The 18,319-nt window shown below is 36.7% G+C and overlaps 1 protein-coding gene across 1 annotated transcript; it reads right to left on the reverse strand.

Annotated features, from left to right (window-relative positions):
- Positions 333-1,395, reverse strand: OR4C12 (olfactory receptor family 4 subfamily C member 12). Its single transcript, NM_001005270.4, has one exon. The coding sequence runs from the start codon at positions 1,359-1,361 to the stop codon at positions 432-434; it is 930 nt and encodes a 309-aa protein (NP_001005270.3). The 5' UTR covers positions 1,362-1,395; the 3' UTR covers positions 333-431.

Here is an 18,319-nt window from a genome sequence, read left to right on the forward strand (position 1 = left end):
TTACAATATGACCAACATATTGTGACCAATAAAATTTACAAAAGAAAGTATGTATATATTAAGCCAGGGTCCAAATTAAAGAAATATCATTAAACATGTAAATTTCAATAATCAGCAGTAACCAACAGCTTAATGTTATATAATAAGATTATTTTAATATCAATCTAATATTCTACATTTATACTTTTTAGCATCTAGAGATGTTTCAAGTTTCCAGGCAATTGATGAATATGTATTAATTAAAAAGCAATAGTGGTGATGACAAGAGTGTGGGATAAGAGACAGTAAGCTTTACAGTCCAAGCTTTAGCTTTATGCTTTACTGACTATCTGCAAGCATTAGCCAGCCCCTTGTTAGAGTTGACATATTCATCTACAAATCAAGAAGCTTAAATACCTATTACCTCTATGTTGAGTGCTCAATGGTCTTATTTAATCATTATCTGAAGTCACTTTTTTTCTCCAAAGCTTCCTTATTGCACTTTTTACCTCAGCATTTCTGAGTGTGTAGACCACGGGATTTAACATTGGGACCACCATAGTATAAAATACAGCAACAGCTTTATCAATGGGCAGAGTGGTCACTGAGCGCAGATACACAAATATACAGGGCACAAAGAATAAGACAACTACTATGATGTGAGAAATACAGGTGGAGAGGGCTTTACACCTCCCCTCCAAGCTATTGTTCTTTAAAGATCTCAAGATGATCACATAGGATACCACCAAGATAAGGAAGTTTAATAAGCAGATAAACCCACTGTTCACAGCAACAAAGAGACCAAGGGTATGAGTGTCTATGCAAACAAGTTTTAACAATGGGTACAAGTCACACATGAAGTGGCCTATGACATTGGGGCCACAGAAGGGCAGCCATACTGTAAAGAGAATCTGAATAGTTGCATGAAGAAATCCTCCCACCCAGGCCACTGCCACCAGGAGAATGCACAGGCTGTGGCTCATAATGGTTGTGTAGTTCAGAGGTTTGCAGATGGCCACATAGCAGTCACAGGCCATCACTGTCAGCAGGATGATCTCAGTAGCACCAAAAATGTGTTCTGCATAGGCTTGAGCCATACACCCATTAAAGGAGATGATTTTCTTCTCTTGAAAGGAATCCACAATCAACTTAGGAGCTGAAGAAGAAGAATAAACTGTGTCTATCAAAGAAAGGTGGGTCAGGAAGAAGTACATGGGGGAGCTCAGAGCCTGGCTGGTGGTAATGGTAACCACAATGAGCAGGTTGCCTGAAAGTGTTATCATGTAAAGAACCAAAAATACTACAAACGTGACTTTCTCCATTATGGGGTTCTGTGTAAGACCTATTAAAATGAATTCAGTCACATTCTTTTTCTTCTCCATCTATGTAGTGTGGGTGATAAAACCTCCAGGAAGGAATATTTTACCTTTAGAAAAAAGAAAGGAAAAAAAAGAAGCATAAAAGAATCAAATAGTCCAAAACTTTGCCTTTTCACTGCTCTGCCATCTCACAGATGATTCCTTCTCTTCCCAAAACTCTCTAGGAATAGGTACCCGTAAACTTCTCTAGCTGACTTCTTAGTTTTTTATTAGCCTGACCTCAAAAATATTCTTAGAAGACATGGGACACCCAGAAGAGAGAGATTCCATTTCCTAGAGTGTAGTTGTTTCAAAACTTCACTTAGACATCAATATGATGAATTAATGCATTCATTAGAGGTAATAGTTTTGGAGACTAATAAGACTTTAAAATGTGTATATGAAATAACATGAACTAAAAACCATAAAATAGTCTGTATATCTTAATTATAATTATGCAAGTATTCCATAGGTTAAAAGTTAGTGATAATAGTTATGGATTTAGTATTGAAGATTATAGGTTTTATAGGTATATTTTAGTAATAAAATTTGACTTCAAAAATTTTAGTTATAAAATTTTATATAGGTTTTGTTTTACCTATGGTAAAACATATGTGTAGAGAAAAGTTGATAAGGAAATAATATATTTAGGACATTTACTTCTGGATGTGAAACTATGGGTGATTTTTATTTATGTTTTCTACAGCTTGCATAACTACCTGTATAGTTAGGAAAGAAATATAGTTTCTATATTTTTTCTTGGAGACCTGAAGCTGAAATCATAAATGTTTACATTGAGCAGAATATGTAGGAAAACAAATATAGGGAATTGTACATTGGTACATGATAGGAATCCAGGAAATAGCTGGGTATAGTTGAAGTAACTGCTATAATGTGCTCATTAAATTTTTGTCACCAAGTCACCATATGGACATAGGGAGAGTGCCTGACTGGACCCTAACTTTTCTGAAAAGATCAGGACAGAGGATGAGGCTGCCATGACTGCCCATGGATCTTTTAGAATCTTCCTAATATCTATGACTGCTCATGGATCTTTTAGAATCTTCCTAATATCATCTTTAGTCTACCAGTCAAAGATTGTTGATCTCTGGTTTTATAGCATTGATATGACAGTCAGTAAGTCAAGTCTGAATAATCAATGAGAATCTCCTTAATACATAGTCTATTTTCATTTACTTGAAGAAGAATGCACATTTCATTCAATTAACTTTAAGATAGTACTTAAAGCTAAGTTTTGCTATTATTCTCACTTTTTCCTAGACTTCAGGTTTTTTTTTTTTTTTAAATCTTTATGTGTTCTTAAAGCACAAAGGCAGTGGTGGGTAAGATGAATTGCCTCTGTTACATGGAGGTATGATACCTGACGAGGTACATGAAAAGGTAACATCTTCCTTGTGATCCCACACATGCTTCATTGAGAAGCGGGCCTAAGAGCTCCAAGCTCCAGGATCATGGTCTCCCTTCTGGATAGCCCGGTGCTCCAGAGAATCCTTTCAGGGACAAGAACTCTTGAGAATAAGGTTGGATGCCCTTCTGATTACCAACTTTTCCCTAGAGGAGATGGCCTTTGAGAGAACCAACAATCAACTAATGTTTTTACAAGTTCCTGAAGGTCTATGCCAAAAGTTAGACTTCCTGATCAAAACCAGACAGAAAACCCCAAACTTGACTCATTCATTTTCATTATCTCACTTATTCAATTTCTTGCAAGTCTTGAAGTAATTAGAATATATTTAAAGAGCAGTTCTTTTTTACAGTTTTCATCTCCTTCCTATTTCCCTGCAGATACAAACATACAAACAGAACAACTCAGTCTCATGTTCAAAATTGGTGTCTTTGATGTTCACTGTTAATTGGGAGACTTGAGCACAGGATTAGTTCCTTTTTCTGCCCTAGTCCAAAGACATAGTGTGCCTATTACCACTTACATCTTCTAATACCCATATTTTTACAGAAATTAGAAATGGAGAAAAGTGTCAACCTAGCAGAAAGACCTTGATATTCCATAAAAGGGCCCTCAGACCGCAATTGAGAGGTAAGGACATAAACAAACTTCTTCCCAGAGAAACCATTGTTACCTTTTTAAATTTCATATACTCATTTTGAAATGCAAACCTTTACTACCACTCTGCTTTTCCCCATTCTTACTTTCTAGCATGCAGAGATTTATTTTTATACGCTGTACTTCCTATAATAATTGTTCATTTTTATTGCATGCTTGTCGTGTACTTGGTACTATACTAAATGCTTTACATGCATTTTTTCACTTAATCCTCACAATGCTTTGAAGTTGGTACACAATTATCTATATTTGAAAGAAAAGTAAACTGTGTTGAAAAGAAAAACAACTTACCCAAAATTATAGTGTCAATTAAAAAAAACAGAGAAGACTGTATTCAAGCACAAGATGTCTGCCTCTAGCTCTTCAGCACTTAACCAGTGCTTCTGGGACTCAGCAGTGCCAGAGTTTGGACAAGTGGACTAGTACCTAAAGCTAACACCTGTGACCATAAGAAATTAATGGCATTCCTTTTGCTAAGCTAAGAAATGCAGAGTCAGATGTAATGATTTCAAGGGTCCAACTGGACAAGACTCTAGAATTGTTAGACATTAAAAATCCTCAGGTACTTTGCATTGCATCAACTTATCCGTACTTTAAAGGTGAATAAACTGAAGTCTCAAGAGGTAACATCTAAGAAAACACAGCTAATTTATTTGTGGCAGAGAATAACAAGAAAATCCAGGTCTAATGCCCAACAATGTGAATTTTTTTTCCATCATATCTGGCCTTCCTTAAGATACATTAATATGAGTGTATACAAGGAAAATTCACCTTACAGTGACAAAATTAAGTTTCATGTCTTATCTTTGCCAATACCTGTCTTGATTGCCTAAGAAAGAGGCTAAGTCTGAGTTTAGGGATGAAGAAATTCAGCCATATTGCTGAGACCACATCCATTGTAGCAGAAACAAGTTATCATCTGGTTAAAACAATATCTGGGAACACATGAATAGAGTCAAAATAAAAAATACACCTAAGCCTGGAGTTCAATATAGATTCCCAGCTACAGCAGAGAGTACACTGTTTACTTGCAGATCCTGTATTTTAATACACTTGCCTTTTGATCGCAGTCTTAGAGCTAAAGTTTTCCTTTGAATAACATAATCCAAATTCTCTCCTTCTCTTCCCTCCCACACTGATCCGGCCTGAGCTCGGTGAAGGTCACACACCCTGTCAGCTCTACTTTAATTTTGCCTTTCTTTATTTTCAATTGTTTCTCATATCTCCTGCTACTAGTACAAGGTGAGATTTTCCCTCTTTTTCTCCCTGGAGACTTTCAAAGAGTATTATTTCAAGGAAATGAGTGATTCTACATAAAGCAATCTCTGACTATCATTACATCATATGCCCTACCCCTGGAGAAAATCTTCAATGACCCATCCACCTACTGCACTCTCTCCACACTTAAAAGCCTAGAAATTGATTCAGGAATCCATAAAATATTAACCTTTTCCTGGTAAATTGTAGTTATATCAATATACAGTGAGGAGAATAAATATTTCTAAAAATTGTCCTCAAACATTTAGAAGTGATTCACCATCAATTATCAGATGTAATACTTTAATGATTTCAATTATAAACCCGTTGGGAGAAAGAGGAAATGTAAGAAACTGGATTAAGAATAAGCAGTTTTAGGTAACTTACTGTAATTGCCTCTATAGTTTAGGAGAATGGCCAATGTATTCAGAAATACAAAGTAACCTTTATAGGTACCTGTTCAAACAGCGTGTTATGTAATGTATATATCCAAGTCTCCACTGACTGGACAATTTTACAAAATTCACAGAATGTCAAGATGACACAAATTTCTTCAAATGGATTCAGCAAGCATTTTCAAAACTCCAATGCCTTTGAAGTTCAAGTTAAAGGGAAAGAAAATGTCAGTTGAATTTGAAACTCCAAGTTCTTAGTTACTAAAGAGAATCTTCTGATCTTCTCCAGCATCTAGATCTATATTATGGAATAAAGGACACAAATGTTCTAACAATACCCCCTTTCTTATTCTGCCTTTAAAATAAGAAAACAGCTTCTCTTGAATCATAGTGTTTAGAGAGGATACCGAGAACATTAAAGGATCTATCATTATACCTAAGGCTTTGTCCTCCCAGGGATTAATTATCTCTGTTTTTAAAAGATTTTTCCTTAGAAACAGAAATTTGGGAGTATTTGCCTATTAACAACCCATCTTCACCTGATTAGTTATTTTCCCTGCATTTTAACCTATTAACATCCTACATCCCTGGCCTGGAATATTATGCAACAAAGCACTCCTTTTATAAGCCCTTAGGTGTCATGAAGGATTCTAAACACTTGTGGATAACAAAATGGGGTTTCATTCAGGTTGAATATTTCTGAGGAAGTTTCCTCACTGTCTGAGGTAACAGAGGAGGCTGAGTTTCTGAATCAATCTCTCAACTGTACTATAAACACATCAGGACACATTCCATCCATAGAAATGAACCTTGGAACTTGATGCACTTTCAGGCAGAGTGATATCTGGAGTTGGGAGGCAAATTGAAGCTGAAATCCTAGTGTCAACTTTTCCAGTGTAAAAATCCAAAAAAATAGATTTGTATGTCTTCCCATTCACATTTTTTGGAAGTCTAGAAATTCCACCAGCCATTCAATGGAAAAAGCCTCACCTAGGCGAAGAGACTTCAAATTTACTTCACACATAATTTCCAGGACAGTGGAAATTTGCAAACCAAATATATTCTGCCATCTTGCAAACATATATTACAGCAATTACTCTGCAGCCTGAAGAATAGGATGCCGTTTAAATCATATATCATAAGAGTTGTAACTGCTGCTATATTTTAATATATGGGTAAGCAGTGAATGGAGAACCAAGAAAAATAGCAATAATAGCAGCTATCATTACTGAACACTACGTCCTTTATTCTATTGACATAGTGTATTACATTGGTTGGTTTTCATATATTGAAACAACCTTGCACTCCTAAATAAATCCCACTTAGTCATGGTGTACATTTCCTTTTATATGCTACTGGATGCCATTTGCTAAACTTTTGTTGAGAATTCTTGTATTAATATCTATTTTCATAAGAGATGGTTGTAGTTTTCTTTTCTTATGATATCTTTGATTTTGGTATCAGGGTAATACTTGTATCATAGAATGAGTTGGGAATTGTTCTCTCCTATTTTTTAGAAAAACTTGTGGAGGACTGGTGTTAATTCTTCCTTAATTGCTTAATAAAATTCACCAGTAAAGCCATCTTGGCCTGGGTTTTCTTTGTGAGAAATATTTTTATTACTAATTCAATATCTTTACTTATTATACTATGTTCAGATCATCTATTAAGTCAATTTCAGTGGCTTATGTCTTTCTAAGAATGTATCCATTTTATCTAAGTCATATAATTTTTTGCATATAATGGCTTATAGTATCCCTTATAATCCTTTTCATTTTTGTAAGGTCAGTAGTAATGTCTGTCTTTCATTGCTGATTTTAGTAATTTGAGTCTTCCATCTCTTTTCTTTCTTGGTCAATCTAGCTACAGATTTGTCACTTTGGTGATCTTTTTAAAGAATCCACTTCGGTTTTGTTGTTTTTTTAGTCTCTATCTATTCTCTAATTCATTTGTTTTTGCTCTAGTCCTTGCTATTTCCTTTCTTCTGCTTCCTTTAGGTTTAGTTTGCTCTTATTTTCCAATGTCTTCATGGGAGCAGGTAAAGTGATTAATTTCAGATCTTTCTTCTTTTTTAAATATACACATTAACAGCTACAAATTTCCCACTAAGCACTGGTTTAGATGTATTCCATAGGTTATGCTATGATGTTTTCATCTTCCCTTATCTCAAAGTATTTTCTAATTTCCCTCATGATTTCCTCTTTGATGCATTGGTTATTTAAAAATGTGTTGTTTAATTTTTACATATTTGTGAATTGCCCAAATTTCTTCTATGATGATTTTTAATTTCATTACATTCTGGAGAACATACTTTGTCTAATTCTTTTAAGTGTATTGAGTCTTGTTTTAGGTTACATATGGTCTAACCTCGAGAATGTTGCATGTGCACTTGAAAAGAGTGTATATTCTGCTGTTGTTGAAGAGAGTATAGTATAAATGTAGTTAGGTGTACACTTAACAGAATACTGTTATATATAGTTGCTTTATAGCATTGTGTAAGTCTTGTTTTCTTGATGAACTTCTGCCTAGTTGTCAACCCATTACTGAGAGTGAGATATCAAAGTCACCACCTATTGTTGTTGAATTGTCTATTTCTCTTTTCTAAAGTGTTAGTTTTTACTTCATATATTTTGGGGCTCTGTTATTAGATGCACATAGGCCTATAATTATTACAGACATTATAACATGGCATTAGCACCCTTATAAAAGGTAAAATCCCCAGAGAGATCTCTTGCCCCTTTCACCATCTGAGATTATGGCAAAATGGCCGTCTAGAACCAGGAAATGGACTCTTATGCCAGATACCAAATCTGCCAATGCCTTGATCCTGGACTTCCCAAGCCTTCAGAACTATAAGAAAAAAATTTCTGTTGTTTATAAGCAGCTCTTGGTGAATTGACTGGTATACCCTTATAAAATATCCTTCTTCATCTCTAATAGCAATTTATGTCTTAAATTTCATTTTGTCTGATATTACTATTAGCTAAAGTATAGCCACTTCAGCTATCCTTTGCTTACTGTTTGTGTGGTTTATATTTTTTCAAGCTTTTGCTTTCAACTTATTTGGGTCTTTGAATCTAAAGGATGGCTCTTGTAGACAACCTATATTTGGATCATGTTTTTATATCTAGTTCAGATTAACACCAACGTAAATACAACAGTACATAGGAATAGCACTTCTATATAGCTCCATTCCCTCCCTTCTACTTTGTGTTGTTATTGCCATACAAATGACATCTTTACACATTGCATATCCATCAACACATATTTACAATTATTGCTTTATGCAGTTGTCTTTTAAATCAGATAAGAGGAAAACAAGTAACAAGCTAAAATATGTAAATAAGTCTTCTATATTTATCTATGTAGTTACGTTTGCCAGAGCTTTTGCTTTCTTCATGTAAATTCAAATTATTGTCTGGTGGAATTTTATTTCAGCCTGAAGGACTCCTTTAGTATTTCTTAAAGAGAAGACCTGCTAACAATAAAACCTCTCTGTTTTTGTTTGCCTAGGAATATCTTAATTTCTCCTTCATTTTCAAAGGGTAATTTCATTGGACAGGGAATTCTTGATTGATAGTCTTTTCTTTTCTGTACTTTGAATATGTTATCCAACTGCCTCCTGACCTTTATCACTTCTGATGAGAAATCAGCTGTTTGGCTAATGAGAATCTCTTAGATATGATGAGTCACTTCTTTTTTGCTGCTTTCAAGATTCTCCCACTCTGTTTGGTTTTTGTTAGTTTGATTATGATCCCATAATCTCTTTGAATTTATCCTATTTAGAATTTGAGGAGGTTTTTGGATGCATAGATTAACTTTTGGAAAAATTTTAAGCCATCATTTTTTTCCCAATATTCTTTCTGCCCCTTTCTTTTCTCTGAAAATCCCATTATACATATGGTGGTATTTTTAATGGTACTTGATAGGTCTCTGGGGTCCTGTTCATTTTTTCTTCCTTTCTCTTTCTGCTCCTCAGACTGTATGATTTCCATTGGCCTACCCAGGTTCACTTATTCTTTATTCTGCCTACTCATATCTGCTGTTGAGCTCCTCTAGTGAATTTGTCATTTCAATTATTGTACTTTTTACCTCTAGAATTTTCATTTGGCCCTTTTTTATAATTTCTATCTGTTTATTGAAATGATCTATTTGCTGAGACATCATTCTGATAATTCTTAGACATAGTTTTCTTTATTTCCTTAAATATATTTGAAATAACTAATTGAAAGTCTTTGTTTAGTATGTCTGAAGTCTGGGCTTCCCCAGAAACAGTTTCTGCCAACTGTGTTAGTCCCCTATGTATGGGCCATACTTTCTTGTTTTTTCCATGTATTATATTTTTCTTGTTGTTGAAAACTGGAATATACATATATATACATGCCTATATATAAGCATACATGTGTGTGTGTGCGTGCGCACATGCTCACACACTATGGTCAAAAAGTTTGTGTCCTTCCCAAAATTCATACGTTAAAACTTAATCTCCAATGTGAAGGCATTTGGAGGTTGGGGCTTTGAGTGATGATTAGATCATGAAATTGGAGCTCTCACCTATAAGATAGGCACCTTATCTAAGAGATCCCCCAAGAGAGATCTCTTGCTCCTTCCCCCATGATATATTATAACAAGAAGATGACCATCTAGAACCAGAAAGTGGACTCTCACCAGACCAAATCTGCTGGTGCCTTGATCTTACACTTTCCAAATTTCAGAACTTCAAGAAACAAATTCCTATTGTTTATAAGTGACTCAGTCTATGGTATTTTGTTAAATCAGCCCAAATAGACTAATACAATGTGGCAATCCTGGAAATCAAATTTTTTCCATCTCCAATGTTTATAATTGTTACTGTTTGTTGTTTGGTTGTTCTTGGGATTAGCATTTTTTAAACTAATTTTATGAGACATATTATTTTCTTATATGCAGTCACTGAAGTCCCTGCTCAATAAGATTATGGATAAGTTAATAATTATACAGAGATATCTATAGAACCAATAAGTCTTACAGTCTTTGCTAAGGGGTTCTATGTGTGTCTTGGGGCATGCCTTCACTACTCAGCCAGATAGCTTAAAACTTTACCTTAGCCTTCATATCCTGCTTTCACAGGGTCACAAGGTAAGCCAGAGGTGACAGCTTATGCTTTCCTGGGTCTTTCTTGAACATGTACAGAGTCCTGGGCATATGCACAGTCCTGATATTCATTCCTCAGCTTTGTATTTAAGCCTTTTGGTTAGCCTGTTGTTTTCCCTAATTTAATCCACTGCCTAAAGCTGCTGCAATGTTTAAGAATTGCCTCTGATTGTTTTTGATAAATTTCTCCAGGAAAAATGTTCCAAGTCAAGTCAAATAAAGATAGATTTGTGAGTTAGGTCTTCCAGGGAATGAACACATAGGTCAAATAGTAACAATCATCTGGGAAAGGAGCTTTGAAAAAGCTCCAATCTCATTCTGCCCTTCCCAGTGGTTGCCAAGCTGCTGGGTATCAATGTAATTGCAGGCCATTGTTTTTCAAGACTACAGAGAAGCTGTGCAGAGAAAATGAAAACAGGGTAAATTAAAATGCCAATAACCCTCCTTGTTATTGAGAGTTAGCCATTTTTATTACATAAGTACTCCTTGGACTGATATAAGCATTTGCTTAATTTCCAGAATTCTGAAAATGTTGACTCTGATCATTCTTTCCAGTATTCTCATTGCTAGAATGGAGGAGAGAATTTTAAAGGTTTTTAACTACACTTTTGTAACTGGCATTGACCTACTAAGCACTATGTGCTAGGATTCATGCCCAATTTCAGTGTTTGAAATACATTAACTTTAATTTCAACTATATTTCTGAAAGTATATATTCTTAGCCTCAATTTAAGGTTAAAGAAACACCCACAGGAGCAAGGGAAGGCTCCGCTGATTGTCTTGTGCCATACTCCCTGCAAGGACACATATTTAACAACTATCTACAGAGAAAACACACCTTCATAAGAACCAAAAATCAGGTGCGCACCCATAGAACCTGATAGAGGCCCCTCTACCTTTGGAAATGGGAGGGAAGAGTAGGAAGAACTGCATCTTGTGGCTTAAGTGCTGCCTCAGCCATAGTATAATAGAACAACATGTAGTCTTCTAAGGTTTTTGACCCTAATACCTGACTCCCAGATGGCACCTCTGGACCCATCCAGGGCCTGGGGAACTTGCCACCCTGAAAAGAAGGACACAGGTATGGCAGGCTTTGCTACCTGCTTGTTATAGATCCCCAGGGCCTTGAATGAACACTTACCCAGGAAGTGGTCATGGCAGGCCTTGAGCAAGACCCAGTGCTATATTTGTTTCAGGTCTAACCCAGTGCAATCACAGTGGTAGTGGCCACATTCACCTCCATCATTAGGTAGCCCACAACAGAGGGAGAAAGACTCCATCTAAGAGAAGTAAGGGAAGAGAACAAGAGTCTCTGCCTGATAATCTGGGGAATTCTCACTGATCTTGTCCAAGACCATCAAGGTGGTACCTCTACAGGTCTGCTTTATGCAGTTGTCTTTTAAATCACATAAAAGGAAGACAAGTAACAAGCCAAAATATGCAAATACCATCTTCTATATTTATCTATGTAGTTTCATTTACCAGAGCTTTTGCTTTCTTCATATGAATTCAAATTATTGTCTGGTGGAATTTTATTCAGTTTTACCAGGCTTGTCATGCCTCCTAAAGCAGATTCAGCTTACATTACAACATCCAAGTCCTTTCAAATATCTGGAAATCCTTTCCAAGAAGGATAGGTACAAACAAGCCCAGAACATAAAGACTACAATAAATATCTAACTCTTCAATGCCCAGGCACAGATGAACATCTACTGTTCTACCTGCATCAACACTACCATCTAGGAAAACAAGATCCCACCAAATGAAATAAATAAGGCATCAGGGACCAATCCTGAAGAAATAAAGATATGTGACCCTTTGGGCAAACAATTTAAAATTACTGTTTTGAGAAAACTCAAAGAAATTCAAGGTAACACAGAAAAGAAATTCAAAATGCTATCAAATAAATTTAACAAAGAGATTGAAATAATTTTAAAAGAATGAAGCAAAAATTCTGGAGCTGAAAAATGTATTTGGCATATTGAAGAATGCACCAAAGTCTTCTAATAGCAGAATTGATCAAGCAGAAGAAAGAATTAGTGAGCTGGAGGACAAACTGTTGAAAAAACAATACAGTCAGAGGAAACAAAAGAAAAAAATATAAAACAATGAAGGACACATACAGGATCTAGAAAATAGCCTCAAAAGGGAAATCTAAGAGTTATTGACCTTAAAGGGAAGGTAGAGAGATAGAGATAGGAAGTTTATTCAAAGGGATAATAACAGAGAACTTCCCAAACCTAGAGAAAGATATCAATATTCAACTATAAGAAGGTTATAGAACACCCAGAAATTTAATCCAAAGACCACTTCAAGGCATTTGATAATCAAACTCCCTAAGCTCAAGAATAAAGACCCTAAAAGCAACAAGACAAAAGAATCAAATAACATACAATGGAGCTCCAATATGCCTTGCAGAAGACTTTTCAATGGAAACCTTACAAGCCAGAAGAGAGTGGTATAACATATTTAAAGTGCTGAAGGAAAAAAAACCTTTTACCCTAGAATAGGATATCTAGCAAAAATATCCTTCAAGCATGAAGGAGAAATAAAAACTTTTCCAGACAAACAAAAGTTGAGGGATTTCATCAAGAGCAGACTTGTCCAACAAGAAATTCTAAAGGGAGTAAGTACTTCAATCAGAAAGAAAAGAATGTTAATGAGCAATAAGTAATCACTTAAAGGTACAAACCTCACTGGTCGTAGAAAGTACACAGAAAACACAGAATATTTTAACACTATAGCTGTGGTATGTAAACTACTCTTATCCTAAGTAGAAAAACTAAACAATGAACCAATCAAAAATAATAACCACAACAACTTTTGAGGACATAGACAATAAGATATAAATAGAAACAACAAAAAGTTAAAAAGCAGGGGGACAAAGTTATGATGTGGAGTTCTTATTAGTTGTTTTTTTTTTTTTTTTGCTTGTTTATTTGTACAAACAGTGCTAAGTTGTTATCAGCTTAAAATAATGGGTTATAAGATAGTATGTAAAAGCCTCATGGTAACCTCAGACCAAAAAACATACAATGGGTCCATAAAAAATAAAAAGCAAGAAACTAATCATATCACCAGAGAAAATTATTTTCACTAAAGAAGAATAGGAAGGAAAGAAAGAACTGACACAGGAACTAGAAAGAAATTATTTAGGCATATAGTGAGGGTAAGAGAGTCCTTGGTAAGGTTTCCGTGTTCATAAAAAGCAGCCCCCAAATCATTTCTTTTCTAACAAAGAAGAGCCTGAAAAATCAAGATGCAGACATAGAAAAGCAAGCTGTAAGTTTGCATGGGTGAATGCTGGCAGCTGTGCCAATAGGAAAAGGCTACCTGGGGGCCAGGCATGGTCAACATGGAGGCTCCATCTTCCCTTTTGTCAACCACATGTGCAGTAAAGAAGCAGGCAACATGGCACTGACCAGGTAGAGAACCCTTTTGTATAATAAAAGATTAGGGTGGGCAGCCAGCTTCGTCACATACCAATCTTTTGGGCCCTATGAAAATCAGACACTGCCTCCTCAAGTTCATCTATAAAACCCCATGCATTTCACCACAGAACTGGAGGACCCACTCAGGAGTCCCTCTGTCTCTGCAGAAGAGAGAGCTTTTCTCTCACCTATTAAACCTCTGCTTTTAGACTCACTTATTGTGTGTCCACACCCTCAGTTTCCTTGGAGTGAGACAATGAATGTAGGGTATTTACCTGAGACAAACAATGCTGCTTCATTTTGGGGCTCCACCTGGGATGCAGGTATAATCATCAGAAGGGTGAGTATAGGAGTAGACCATAACTCTATCCTTGCATTTTGAGGCTCTTGGCCTCCATTTTAATATCAAATCAAACCAAATACTGGGCCCTTGTCAGCCATTTAAAAATGGTTAGAGTGGCTGCCAGCCTTACAAGACCAGGGGACAAGCTTGCTGGGGAGATCATGGAGAATCCCCCAGCACCCTCAGGTTGCTGGGCATATTGGCTATGTTTCAAACCAGTTTCCCTTCCTGGAGCACCCAGCCATCGTATGGGGCTTAAAGAGGTCCCGGAGCAACTAAGAATTTCTGGCCAGGACTACACCCTGGTGTTATCTGAGGGCTTCTGGACCAACTCCAGCCTTCAACTGCCCAACCAACCGTCGGCAATAGGATCTCCAGCTTTTCTATCACAATTTCCTCCTTTCCTACCGGCAATTGTCATGTCTCCTATCATCTCTATATATGCAATGCTCCGGAAATTTTTACAGTTCAGCGAAATAGTCCTGTTAGGAAAGGTCAGCAAATGCCATAGTAACTGGGAACATAACTCAAGAGAACGCTGTTTTTGTGATTTTCTAGTAACAGAGGATCTTCCCCCACCCCCCACAGTGAGCTTATTCTCTGCGCTTGGTCTGGAGAGCACATGGTATTTCAAGGTCAACAGCGCCACCTAGTGGAATAGGAATCCTCTCCATGAGGCACATTGTTGGCCCTTTGCCAAAACACTTTAGCTTCCCAATTTTCCTCCCTTTTTGTGCCCTTCTACTAGGGACCAAGCTTTATGCCTTTTCTGTGAAAGAGAAAAACTCTGCCTTCAACAGTGATGAGGAAAATGTCTCTGAAAAAAAAGTTAGTCTCGATAGTGTCCCATCAGCAGGAAAACCACCATTTGGTCCCTACATTCTTTTAAGTCACCTACTCTGTCTCCAATTAAAATGGTACTTACATAGTAAGGAGACAAGAGTAAACGCTTTGGCATGGGCCATAATAACAGGATATACAGTTCAATCTAACGCACCCCCTCCATTAAAGGGGCCTTGCCCAAAGGCAACTATTACATAGTCTTTTTCAAGATCCCTCTTTCTGGGAGCCACATAGGCCATGTCAGTCTAAAAAGTCAACGGGAAATCATAAACAGAAGACTAGAGTCGCATGGGTAAGTGTGAGTAATCCCAATTGCTTCGTTCCTCCACTTCCATGGCTGGGGGTCATGCCTGCAACCATGGACAATATGTTTAATAATGTGCTGGAGTCCCAGGAACCAAGAGGGAAAAGAGTAGGGGGTAAACTCCTGCCGTCTTCCCCTCCACCTTGGGTCACAACAAAAGGAAGGAGATTACAGGGGTGACTTTTTTCTGGCTTCTCTTTCTAGATGGGTAACAAACCATCTTCAACCTGTACTCCTCTGAAGTGCATTCTGAAGCATTGGGATTCCTTTGACCTTGAGACTGGAAAAAAAGCAGCTCATTTTCTTTTGCACAAGGGTATGGGCTTGTTACTAGACCTTTGCAAGCACGGCACAATCAACTCAGCTCTTTTAGCAGTCATATCAGGTGGGCCCAATGGGAATGATTCCTCAAAACTAAAGAAACAGACCCCCCAGGAAACCCTTAAATGCAACTTCCAGATGCCCCAGCCCTGCCTGTTCCCCCTATTTACATCGTCAGCTATTTCAGTTCCACCACACAAACCCCAGACTTTTCTGTGGTATTTTTCCTTCCTCTTTACGTGGTTTAAAATGGCTCCTATCTCTTCTTTTATAATGTTCCTCCAAACTTGGAAAAGTTAATTTCCCCAAACGTTAAAATGCTGGGCTGAGAGTTGAGCTCAAGGGAAGGGAACCCAGAAACATGACAGTCCAGAAAAAGGGTAAAAGTTTTTTTTTTTTTCACCAGTCAGGATTTTGGCTTCTCTCTCCCTGTACAAAATAGTAACAGGAATAATAAGTTTCACTATTTATATTTTCTGTAAAATTTTAATTCATGAAAAATGATTTATGAGGTTGGTCTTAAGCTGTAGCCCATCCAGTGTGCTTTGTGTGTCTTTCTGTACGGCTTTGTCAAGAGAAAGCATATCTCAGGCTAGGATGCAGTCCTGGGACCCCATAAGCCTGCTGTTCAAGCCAGTCCCAACAAAATGGTCAGTAACAAACTTTGCTGCATCTTGTTTTATGTGCTTGGGAACATGACCTGTAACCATGTGGCAATACTACATTTTAGTCTCCACCATTTTACAATAGTGGCTCAGATTCAATTCTGGCTTGGGAAATGAATACTTTAATTTTACCATTTGCTGATTCTCTTCTCCCGTCATGAACAACTTCTATCTGCCTTTCTTAAATCTTCCTCTAAGTTGCCTTTAAGTGTTCTAGATTTTGTAATAGTGTAACTGCCCAATGAGTTCACCTTGCATGCTGCCCAGGCAGAGCTGATTTATCAAAACAGGGGAATTGTAGTAGAGTCAGTTGTGTGGGAGATGGGAGTTTTGTTGTTGCTCAGATGGGTCTTCCTGAGAGTTTGGGGAGCAGAGTTTTTGGGGACAGCTTGGTAGTGGGGGGAGCCAATGAGACAGGAATGCTGACTTGTAGAGCTAGAAATAAAATCATAGGGAGTCAAAGTTGTCTTCTCGTGCTAAATTAGTTCCCGGATGGGGGCCACAAAATTAGATAAACCAGTTTATCAATCTTGGTGATGCCAGCTGATCCAACAATGGCAGGGTTTGCAAAATATCTTAAGCACTCATCTTGGGAGCAGTTTAGAAGGGTCAAAATCTTGTATCCTCCAGCTGCATGACTCCTAAGCCATGGTTTCTAATCTTGTGCCTAGTTTCTTGGTCTGGTCCCTAGGCAAAAAAGGGAGGTTTATTTTGAGAAAGGGCTACTATTGACTTTGTTTTAAACTATAAACTGTAAACCAAGCTCTTCCCAGAGTTGATTCCACATATGCCTAGGGATGGGCAAGGACAGCTTGGGGGCTGGAGGCAACATACAGTTGGTTGGGTTGGATCTATTTCACTGTCTCAGTCACAATTTCGCAAAAAACTGTTTCATAAGCTGCTTACCCCTCCTTTGAAAATATCTTGTATACTCACGGTTAAGTCATAACCTAACTAAGGCTTTTGATTTCACCTGTGAGGTAACTTTTGGTAAAGTTCAAAAGCTGAACATCTTAACTGCTTAGTATGGCTAAAGTTGAGTAACAAGGGATTTAAAGGGATTTTCTTAAAGAGCTCTCAGCTTAAATAAAAGTGGATATCCAAGTTATTGGTGTATTTAAAAGGCCTTTATGTTTTTCTGTTCTTAGATCTTGTTTTTCTGAAAAATGTTTTTTCTGAGTCAACTAAATTCCTTTTCTCCATTTTGTTTTGCCACTCTTAATACTCTTAATGCATGCATTACTTAATGCACACACGAGAGGCCCCAAGATAATTTCTGATAGTGTGAGACTTCTTGGGAAAACAGAAAAGACACCACAAATCTCGTTTTGGGAGAAATCTCTGTTTTTCCTAATGGAATGCCAGGAATTAGTGGCAGATAGATCTCTCTCAAAAATCTGTTTTTGTCTTCCTTAAAAACTTCATGCTCTCCTAGCCCCACTCTTAAAGGGCCTCACCCAGAGACCAATATTCCAATTAGAGATAAATCTTATAACAACTGAGTCTTTTTCTGTTTGTCTCTGTAATTATGTGTGTTACTTGTAATGTCTATAAAAAGAGCTCCAATTGATTGGCTTAAAGAAAAATAAGCACTTAAATTAAATATTTTTTAAAGGAAAGATAAAAGCTGTAATGCCTTTTAGCTCAAGTGACTTTAACTTTTAAGGAATAAAAATAGTCTTAAGGATTATTAGTAAAATACAGGTGTCATCAAAATGCAAATAAGTGGTCTAAATCATGTAAGTCAGATACTAGGTTTACTAAATATTTCCATGTAAACTCCTGCTTTACAACTTTGTAAGGCCTGGGGACATACAAAATTATCCATGTCCTTAACTATGCTGGAAAAATTCAAACTTAATCTGTGCCTACTACATAATCAAAGCAACTTACCAGGTTTCACATTAAAGTTAAAAATTGCTAAAAGTTAGCATTATAACATGCAATTTAAACTACTAAAAATAGACGTACATGCAAGGTGTGTAAAACAGTAAAATATGTTTTTAGTAAAAGACTATAAGAAGGCATGAAAATGTACATTTTTCTAGGGATAAAGGATTGTCTTAAATTAGATATGATAAAGCTGAAGGTTTAAGCAAGTTTTGGAAAGATTATAAAAAATAATCTTGTGAAAAATCCCATGTGTAAACAAACTAATCTCAAAAGGGTATTATATGGTATTTTCATAAATTGAGCATTGAAATAAA

The sequence above is a fragment of the Homo sapiens genome, chromosome 11, assembly GCF_000001405.40.
Source record: "Homo sapiens chromosome 11, GRCh38.p14 Primary Assembly".
In the NCBI taxonomy this organism is placed as follows: domain Eukaryota; kingdom Metazoa; phylum Chordata; class Mammalia; order Primates; family Hominidae; genus Homo; species Homo sapiens.

Coding starts and splice junctions, on each gene's coding strand:
- OR4C12 (NM_001005270.4), bottom strand. CDS start 1,361: ATGGAGAAGAAAAAGAATGTGACTGAATTCATTTTAATAGGTCTTACA.